Source organism: Homo sapiens, chromosome 3 (assembly GCF_000001405.40).
Source record: "Homo sapiens chromosome 3, GRCh38.p14 Primary Assembly".
NCBI lineage: Eukaryota > Metazoa > Chordata > Mammalia > Primates > Hominidae > Homo > Homo sapiens.
Window position 1 is genome coordinate 187801201 of NC_000003.12, and position 10615 is coordinate 187811815.

Consider the following 10615-nt stretch of genomic DNA (forward strand, 5'->3'; position numbering starts at 1 on the left):
GAGTTCCTGCATTATCTTTGACGGCCTGTGTGAACTTCATCATGTTGCTTGACCTCTCTGAGCCTCAGGGACCCCATGAATCCAGAGGAAGTAATTCCTCTCCTCCATGAGCCTTCTTTGTGCCATATCCCCTCTTGCACACACACATCACCACAAGGTTGTTAGGAGACCAAAAGTAATTTACGTGAAAGACACTGTAAGCTAAAAGGCACAGAACAAACATGTGGTATCGCTCTGAAGATTTTTCTTTTTCCTGAGAGACCAAAGAAAAGGAACTTTTATTCCAGGATAATTTTTCTGTCAGTCGTGGTGATGGTGACATCGCAGATGCCACCACAGCAGTATTCAAAACAAACAAGGGAGAACATTCTCAGGGAATACGACCATGACACCAGCTGCAAGACTTGATTCCCCTGGGCTATGAGTTAACTTGCATTTCTCCAGTAAGAATGAGTCTCCTCTAAAGAAGGCATCATGGTGTTAAGCAAAGGCAAGACTGTTTTATTTGGCTTTCCACATACCTGGAAGTATATTGGCCCGCTGCTGCCTCTCTTCAGCAAGGCCATCAACCTGGAAGACATCTAAGTGGCTCATGTCTTCAGCAGCTGAGAACTTTAGAACTAAGAGGGGCTTCTGAATGCTGGTGGTTTCCTCAGAGAGGAAGTCAAGGAGCTCTGGTCACAGTCAGACCTAGGGTGAGTGGCCCTCCCAATGCCTCAAGCCAGGCCAAATCAGGCTGGGTCCTCCAGTTTGAAACCCACTCTTGAGTTCTGAGAGTGTTCACATCTAGAGTAACAGCCTGGAAATCAGACTAGATACCAGGTCAGCAGGCTACTGACTATCCAGGAAGCTCAGAAACAAACTAGAATTTTAGATAAGAAAACTCTAGGGTCCAAGTGTCAGGTTTAAGTTAGAAGGAGTAGTATAATTTACACTTGTAAAAGTGGTTTATGGACGACTTTTTCATCCTTTGAGGGTACTATACTATAGCAATCAACGGCTTTCCTTCTGAGCCCTGGATGTATCTCCTGGCCCTGCTCCTGCTAGCTATGTGACTGTGGGCACCCAGTGGGTGTGAAGTAAATATTAGCTGTGCTATTGGGTGCACCGCTTGATCCTCACAGCAACCTCTGGGGCCAGTGGTGCTATCAACTTCACATTGCAGCTATAGAATCTGAAGTTCAGAAAAGTGCATCACTGCACAGCAACCCACTTCCCTTTGCCCTCCTCTTTCTTTCAGCTCACTCTTCTTTTGCTTTCTGCTATCTAAATGCCATCTGTCCCTCGAAGTCTGTTCAAACGCTACCTCCCCAAAGAATTCTGCCTCCAGAGTGGAGTTAATCTCGGCTTCCTCTAAGCCCCATAGCATTTTGCTGGTATCTCTATCACATTGCATACTCACCTGGGCCGTAGTAGGTAAGAAAGGTCCAAGACAAGGACATAACTTATTGCAGAGTGTGACGAAGGACATGGAGAGAAGCAAGGTGAAGAATGCAGAAAGTGTAAAGGAAGGAAAGTTTCCTCCGTGTTTCTCCCATCAGAGAGTCATTATATCCCATGCTATCTTTTAAAGGTATTCCCTGCTTCTCCCACCTGATAGTCATATTGCATCATGACATCTTTGAAAGCACTCACCACTCTCTGGCTCCAGTCAAAGCTAACTCCATATATGCTGTCTCCTATCCAAGACTCAGCATCTTGGTGGGTGGAACAGTTTGGATTCACTTCCGCATGCCCCATAGCACATGGCTCTATGAGGGGCCCAAGGTTGCAGGTGCTTAAAAAATGCATATGGCACTGAACTGAGAAGAGCTTGCTGACAGTGGGTGATGGTGATGGATGACGGAAGATATGATCATGATAACGATGAGGTTATCTGAACCGAAACCTAGCCGCTGAAACCTAGCCGTCACGAAGGGTGATGTACTCACGATGTTTCACTATGACTGAGTGAACAACAAGAGATCCACGAATTAGACCTAGAAACAGCCCACTCACTGGCAAACTGAAAAGAAACTGGAAAAGGAAAAAGGCATATGGGTGGAGACTTGTTGTATCAGCTCGAGCCCTGATCTATATAGATTAATATAGCAGTGGCGTATGAAAACACTGTTCTCCCTGATTGTTTAAAAAATGCAGTTTATTAACACAGGTACAGAAAACCAAACACCACATGTTCTCACTCATAAGTGGGAGGTGAACAATGAGAACACATGGATACAAGGAAGGGAACATCACACAAGGGCAAGGGGAGGGGGAGCATTAGGACAAATACCTAATGCATGCAAGGCTTAAAAGCTAGATGGCGGGTTGATGGGTGCAGCAAACCACCATGGCACATGTATACTTATGTAACAAAACTGCACGTTCTGCACATGTATTCCAGAACTTAAAGTAAAATTTAAAAAAAATGCAGCTTATAAAATCATTGAAAAAGCCCTATTTATTATTATTATTAATTGAGGAAGATGTAGAAAATATCTAAAAGGAAAGATAAGAGAAACAATCTCATTACAAGGAGTTGGTGCTATTTAAATTTTATTGTAGTTTCCTTCTTGTATATGTCTGATTTTGTGTAGTTGAAATCATGATTCTGTATATTACAAAATACATTTTGTTGATTTTTATATAGCTAACACACACATAAGGTACAAAATTCAAAAGGCACAAAAGGGTACGCAATGAAAAGCCAGTTTCTCTCTCGCCCCCTGCCTCCCACAACCAGACTTTCTCTTAAATGTCTCATAAATCCTTCCAGGGGAGTCCTATGCCTACCATTGTACATTTTGGAGTGAGTTAATAGCCCTTAATCCTTCAAGGTTCTCAGGAACCAAAAATTGTTATGAGAAGGAAATACATCCCTAATGCAATGTATCTGTGCTGATAAAAGATGCAATTATACTACCTCTATGCCAGTTACATAAGCAAATTTATATAGTACAAGTCTTTCTAAGTAATGTTCTCATATTGACAACAGTAGTTGCAGGTACTCAACCGAGACACACTCCCTTAACAGGCATCCATCCCAAAGATTTCCCAAAGATGTCCTCAGTAACCAAAGTGATTCGAAAAGCTCAGAAACATAGATATCAGAGTCTGCAGTTCTCGGCGGTGTAGCGACTAAGACACTAACCCCCATGCCAGGCTCCTAAATGCAGGCTTCACCTTCTTCCAAGATCAGACCTGGCAAGTACTCTTCCTCATCTTGTTCTGCCCTAGGGTGCTGGGGGTGGGCAGGAAGCATGGGAGGGGTGGGTGGGGGAATTCCAGTTCAAATGAAGCAGTTTAAAGAAAGTCATTTCCATAAAATCTTGCTTAAAATAGAGAAAGCCATTCTATGCTTACCGAAACTCTGTCCTCTTCAAACTCACCCCCAACCCACCCCCAACACATAAAGAAGAGGAGGAGCGGGATCCAGGGTTTCCCTCGAGATCTTGGGCCGTGTGCGCTGCCCCACGGGCTTACACTGACACAGATCCTCCCACCTGAGTCTTCACCACCCACAGTCTCATTGTGGATCTTCTCCCCAGTAGGCAGTTTCAGGAGTTTTTCAGGAATCTGCTAGTTTGGAAGTTTATTTACCAGTGAAGTGAATTTCCCTGTCTGCTCTCCTTCCTCTCCTCCCAGTACCCATCTGATAAAGTTACAGAAGGCATCTCGGATTCACAACAACCCTCACCAGCCCCCCACTGAATAGCACATCGTCTGGCAACAGGAGGCGTTTGATTACATTTGGATGGAACGCCTGCATCAACTCCAGTTGTCCCTGAATTGGAACTGATGGGCCTCACGTGCTGCAGCCAACAGTTTGCCTTCACCCACTCCCCTCTCCGAAGGGAACCTTTCTTTGGGAAAACAAGAAACCTACGTGCCATCCTGGGTGAGAGACTAACAGGAGCTGTGTCCCAGCATTGCCTTCCAGGCGAAGCAGACAAGAGTACACTCTCAGAGGTGTGAAACTGCGAGCCGTGCTTCAAGCATCCTAGAAAGAACCTCTAAACCAGGGGACCCAATTGCCCTCTTCAAAGTACCTCTATGCCTCTATGTTCATTTCAACTCACAGGCATTGAGTTCTTACTACATGCAGTATAAGGCATTCTGCTGTTGTCTCCTTAGCAAGCCCTCATAGCCTCCCCTCTCCCATTCTGACTTATTTACTCAGACACTATTCTGTAGGCAGAATATTGGCCCTACAAAAATGTCCATGTCCTGTCCGTGTCCTAATGCCCTGAACTTGTGAATATGTTATATTACATGGCAAGGGAGCATTAAGGTTGCAGATGAAATTAAGCTTGCTGCAGCTGACCATAAAACAGGAAAATTATCTAGGGTTATTCATGTGGCCCCAGTGTAATCACAAAGACCCATAAGTAGGAAAGAGGGAAGCAGAAGTAGAAGAGTCAGAACTAGAGTGGTGGTATCTTGAGAAAGACTCGAACTGCCATTGCTGGCTTGGGGGATGGAGGAAGGGGCCAGGAGCCAAGGAGTACAGGCAGCCTTTACAATCTGGAAAAGGCAGGAAAACAGATTGTTCCCTACGGATTTGTTGATTTTAGTCCAGTGAAATCCATTGTAGATTTCCGACCTCCAGAACTGCAAGAGAATAAATTTGTATTGTTGCAGCCAGCAGCAACACATTCACTGTAGACCTCCTATGTGCCAGGCCTGATACCTGGTGCTGAGAGGGCATTCTCACAGCAAGGGATTTGTACCTTGTATCAGTCATCAGGGTCCCACTAGGGAAACTAAAGCTACTCTAAGTGTCTGAGCAGAACGAGTTTAATGTAGGTCACTGGCGACACAGGTGGTGGAAGAAGTTAAGAAGCTAACCCAGACATTAGCAATAGCAGAAGTTATTACGCTGGTGCTGCTAGACTAGGCCAGAGAGATAAAGAAAGGAGGTCATGTTACTGGAATCCAGAAGCCAGGGTCACCTGGTAGAAACTGGACCACGGTGGGCCTGTCCAGTAGAAGCTGGAGCTATGGGTGGGGATAGAACGAGCCAGAGGTGCTGGCAGAGGCAGAAAGGGAGAGAAATAAACCCAGCTTCTTCCTGCCTCCTGCCCCTCTGTCTCCTGACAATGTCTCCCACTGGCTGTGCCCAGGGGAAGCCAGCTGATGTGGGTACTTGGGATACACAAGGGTCATCCCTCTGTGGTTGAGGGAAGAGCAATGAATGGACTAATGAATCCGAGGATAGATTCATTCATTCCTTTGTAGTTAGGTGTGACTGAGTTCCAGCTAACGGAACATGAGTGGAAATATATGTGCCACTTCCAGGCCTGGCTGTGAAAACCTCCCATGCACACTCCAGCATGGTTCCCCCTCCTGCCAGACTGGTATCTATTCCTTCTCTGTGTTGGTCTCCATGAATCTTGAAATATAACTTATTGTTTAAAATCCAAGTTTTTACCATGATTTCTAAGGCCCTTCATCATGTGGCCCTTCCCTAGCTTCCCACTCTCATTCTGTGTGTCCTGCCCTCATTCACACACCACACTGGCCTTTGCTTTGCTCTCAATATCCCAGGCACGTCCCATCTCAGGGCCCTGCACTTGTAGCTTCTGCTGGACTCCTCTCCTCTTGTCTTTCTCTTAACTGATAACTGTTCACCATTTGGATGTCAGCTCGACTGTTATTTAGTTAGGCGACCACTTACTCCATCTAAGAAAGGCCCCCTTCAGCTTAAATGACAGTCACATTTCCTTATTTTATTTTCCTCATGATACCTGAGATGATTTTGGTTATGTGTTTATTTATGTAGCATAACCTTCCCAAACCTGTAAGCCCCTTGAGGATAGGAGCATGATCTTAATATTTGCTATATCCTTGTATCAGTCAGTTAGATGTTCACCAAAATCTTTCTTTTTCTTGAAAATAGAGCAGGGCTCATTTCAGATTCCTTTGTAGTTAGGTGTGACTGAGTTCCAGCTAATGGAACATGTGTAGAAATATATGTGCCACTTCCAGGCCTGGCTGTGAAAACCTCCCATGCACACTCCAGCATGGTCCCCCCTCCTACCAGATGATGACAAGGCCTCAGGGAGTAGTAGAGGGACGAGATGAAAGAAACCTGGCCTCTTGAATGACTAAGTGAAGGAGAGTTGCCCCAGCAACCTACATTCTCCTCCAAGACTGTTATGTGAGCAAGAAATAAGTTCTGTGTTGACTCATTACATGAGGCTACCCTAACTAAAACAATGCCCAATGCCAAGAGCAGTACCTGGTCCATAATTAGCCCTCAATGAACAGTGATTGAATGACTGACTATTACACACTTAATAATGATGTGTTCAGTGATGAAATGTCTTTTCCCAACACTCGTTCTTCATTTACTAAGCTCCCTGAGGACAAGGATGTTTTATCAATCTCTATACACTCTGTGCTTTCCACTGTACCTAAACCTCAGTAGTCATTCAATGGATGTGTGTTGCATTGAGTTTCCAGGCAATGTAAGGGAGACAATGACTGGCAAAGCATGGTCAAGATGCACGAGCATGAGGAGGTGTTAGACATGCCTGTGACCACCAATGTTGGTGCAGTTCTTGCAAGCTTACCAAGGGCTCTTCACCTGCTTCTTATTTGTAACAACAATTCTGAAATGTAATAACTTTTATAATTCCCATTTTAGACATAATAAATATGAGTTCACAAAGGGATCTTTGCTCAAGATTTTACTTTTTAAAGTGATAAAGCTAGAATTCATTCATTGTTTTGTTTTTTTTGAGAGGGATTATCACTCTGTCACCCAGGCTGGAGTGTGGTGGTGTGATCTCAGCTCACGTCAACCTCCCCCTCCTGGGTTCCAGCCATTCTCCTGCCTCAGCCTCCTGAGTAGCTGGGATTACAGGTGCCCACCACCATGCCCAGCTAATTTTTGTATTTTTAGTAGAGATGGGATTTCACCATGTTGTCCAGGCTGGTCTCAAACTCCTAACTTCAAGTGATCCACCCACCTCGGCCTCCCAAAGTGCTGGGATTACAGGTGTGAGCCACTGCGCCCGGCCCAATTCATTGTTTAAGAATACTTATTGAGTGCCTAAGATGGGCTAGTGCCCTGGCTGAATCTTCTGCACCTACTAGGGGCTTAGGAAATATGAGAACTCAAAGTTCTGAAGAAATTGGAATTACCTCCCAGAAGACAAATGGGAGGCTCCAGGCTCCAGCCGAGGACTGAGAAAATTGCCTGTGTCATGCAGCCGACGTGTTGAGCTGGGATGCCACTGCTGCTGCTGTGTGCCTTATGCAAGTTTCTGGGTGGTCTGCCAGACTCTCCTGGAATCAACAACAGCGCAGGGACCCCCTTTGCAGCTCTTCTACTTGCCCGGGCTAATGGCCCTGGCATTCTAAGTCTGCCCTTTTCCATACATTCTTTCCTCCTTTCTGTGCCAGGATTTCAGTAGATGATTTAGAGTGAGTTCCGGGCCATTTAGCTCAGAGATTTGGGTGAAAGTTTCCTCCCACCCATCCCAGGCCTCAGATAGCCCATCAGGGTATGACCAGGTCCTGTGAAGGAAGGGGAAGAAAAGCTTGTGGAGATTTTCAGGCACAGGGTAGGAGACGTTTCCTCAGCTGCTGCATTTGCCTACTGTAATCTGGCTGTACAAGGCTTGTCAATAATAGATTGGTTGAAAATGTAGGACAAAAAACTCAGGAAGACGTAACTTGCCTACACAGAGACTGCAAAGGCCCCTGGAGGGTTGCTGGCAGGCTGGATGATTTGTCGCTGCAAAGAGGGAAGGCGCTGTTGCCTGAAGGGGCAGGTGGCCGAAAGAAAAGAGGAAGATTAGATGACCAGTTCTTCACAGGGGTTCAGCCTTTACCAGCCTGGAGACACTCCTCTCTGTGCTTGAGCGCCTCTCTCTGTAAATAAATCCAGGCTGCTCTTACAGTGCAGGATGTCCCACATACCGTACATCTGAGGTGGGGTGAAATACAAATATGCCTTTTCATAATAGCTTTACACCTGGTGCAGCAGAGGACTGGTTTATTACCTTGGTAAACAAAAGTTAGAATTCAAGCAAAGTACAAACTTTGCCGAAGGCACTTCTGACAGTGCACCTTGTGTTTGTGAAGTGAACTCGATATATATACGATGTGAAGCAATGGAAGGCTGGGCTTTTTCTTTCTTTCTTTCTTTCTTTCTTTTTTTTTTTCACTTGTCTGATTTGCAAGGTTTAAAAGTTCACGTGTGTGTGTGTGTGTGTGTGAGAGAGAGAGAGAGAGAGAGAGAGAAAGGTTGGGGGAATTTACTTTGGCTCTGGCTTTTTCCAGCATTTTGAAATCATGCTGTTTAGCGTGGAAAAAAATATGTGAGCCAATTTATATTGTTTTCCAGAGAGAATGTACTTCTTGCTGCTCTCAGAGTGACAATGAGAATTTTTGGGTTGGAGACAGGGTAAACCAGTTTGGGGAACACACAAAGGAACCAGGATTTGCATTAAATCTAACTTAAATTAAACAATAAAAAATAAATATTTATTCAGTGCATTTTTTTTTGCACCAAGCACAGAACCAAAAACTTTCATCACCATTATTTCATTTAGTCTTCTCAACCGCATGAAGCAGGGATTCTTGATCAAAATATCCATTTCACAGGTGAGGAAACTGAGGCTATGGTTGCTCAAGTATTCAAGCTTGTGTGTTCTAATTCTAAATTCAGGTTTTTATGCATGTCCCCTAAGCTGTGCACGGGATCACAGACTATATGGTGTCCTGTCACTTTGCTTCTTTTTCCTGAACCCCCGCATTTTTCAGCCTTGTTCTCTGCCTCAATGAATAGTGATTGTGCCACTTCCAGGCCTGGCTGTGAAAACCTCCCATGCACACTCCAGCATGGTCCCTCCTCCTACCAGGTGATGACAAGGCCCCAGGGAATAGCAGTACTTGGGGAAATGACTGATCTTCTCCGTTCTTTGGTGTATTTCTGCCCAGATGATCTCCATACTGCTTACTTATCACCTAGTCATTTGAGCTGCCCTACGACCAGCCAGCACCTTCATGCATTCCAATACCAAGGATCTGAAACATGTGGATTAGATTTCCCCTCAAAACACACATAAGCCGAAAAGCTAAGGCAGAAAGTGCAAAGCAAGAACACATCTTATGTTTGGTTAGCTCCACAAATGCCTCTGCATTCTCCCATCCCCAGCTTGAATAAATCAGATAAGCTTCAGCAAAAGCATCTGAACTTTTTGGATTCTTTTCCCAAACAAGCCTTTGAACCTGAAGAACTTTGCCTATCTCTGCGTGTTCACTCCTCAAATGTTCAGCTGGGGCTTGCCCACTGCACAGCTCAAGCTGGTGAAATTTAACTCTTTCATCCACAGATTACTTTCCAACCCGTCTGAAGTGACAGTAAACTCATTAGGCTCATTTTCAAGAAGACTCTCTATGAATGTGTCAGCTTATGCCTGTCTCCACAGACGAAGGATTCCTTCAGGGAACATATTAAACTGAGACTAGTGAGAGGTGATGCCATTAAAGCGTTGTCAGTTCAGCAGTTTTATGGTACCAGAGCTGTGGCTGCTTGTCCTTAGCAGGATTTCAAGAGAAAGCCTCGTCTCCCTCCTCCAGATCCCCTGCTACCTCCACCCCCTACCATGGATGCATCTTTAATTGCAGTTCCTTGAGGAATGCCTTTGGCTTTATTTATTACAAGCTGTTAGAAAATTATTGGAACACAAATACTTATTACAGTGAACAGATTTCAGTTGCAAATGGATTCAACCCAATTCCTGTGCCCAAGCCCCTGAGGGAACAGGAATGGAGATCTCTGGGCTGTGAAACGAAACTTGGTCAAGGATGCTTCCTTCAGAGACTCTGCTCTGAAAACCCAGGAGAGCCAAAAAGTGGAAGGCTAGCATTTAAATGAACTGTAAAGAGCATCTAACCAACCCCTTTGTCTTACAGAGGAGGAAATGGAGGTTCAGTGGAAATAGCAAGGCCAAGGCTAAAATAGCCAGCCAACAATAGGCCTCTGCAACTCCCCGGCCAGGCATTATAGCTCTCTTCCATGCTGTCTTTTATACCCAGAGAAAGTGAGATTAAATAAAGCCAAAAAAAAATTGGCCCTAAATCCTGGCCTGGATCCACGTATCCGGGCTTTTCATTACAGCTTGTCAATACATGGCCATAGATTGAGTCCATAGAAAGATGCTCACCCCACGACAGAAGAGAGACAGGAAACCTGGAATGCTTCTGAAACATTGACTGGAAATCTTACTCAATGTTAAGAGATCTTAGTGTATCTTTACATGGTAACATTTCTAGACCAGATAGGCAACGCTTAAAGAGAAATCTATACTCCTTTCCTACTTTCAATTTCATTCTCATTAGCTGCTTTGATTTTCTTGCTGGTGACTCTCAGCTGCTATGGATCCTTATTATTGGGAAGTACAGTTAGTCCATGATGGGGTTCTAAATTGAAGTAACTGATAAAGTATGAGAATATTAGGGCTAGAAGAAAACTTAATGATACTCTGGCCATATCTTCAGTTTCCAGTTGAGTACAGTGGGTCTGAGAGAGGTTGAGTGACTTCAGGCAGGGTCACTGGGTACACTATGGACTGCAAAACATTGAATTGCCCCACCACGTGAAAGGAGGTTCCTTCCA

General features: G+C 44.8%; 1 annotated feature.

The window, feature by feature from the left end:
- Window positions 1906-1965: an enhancer, noted in NCBI's record as "active region_20970". NCBI's record gives its function as "activates an Ori minimal core promoter by ATAC-STARR-seq in GM12878 lymphoblastoid cells {active_cell/tissue: GM12878}" and the evidence as "EXISTENCE:reporter gene assay evidence [ECO:0000049][PMID:35858748]".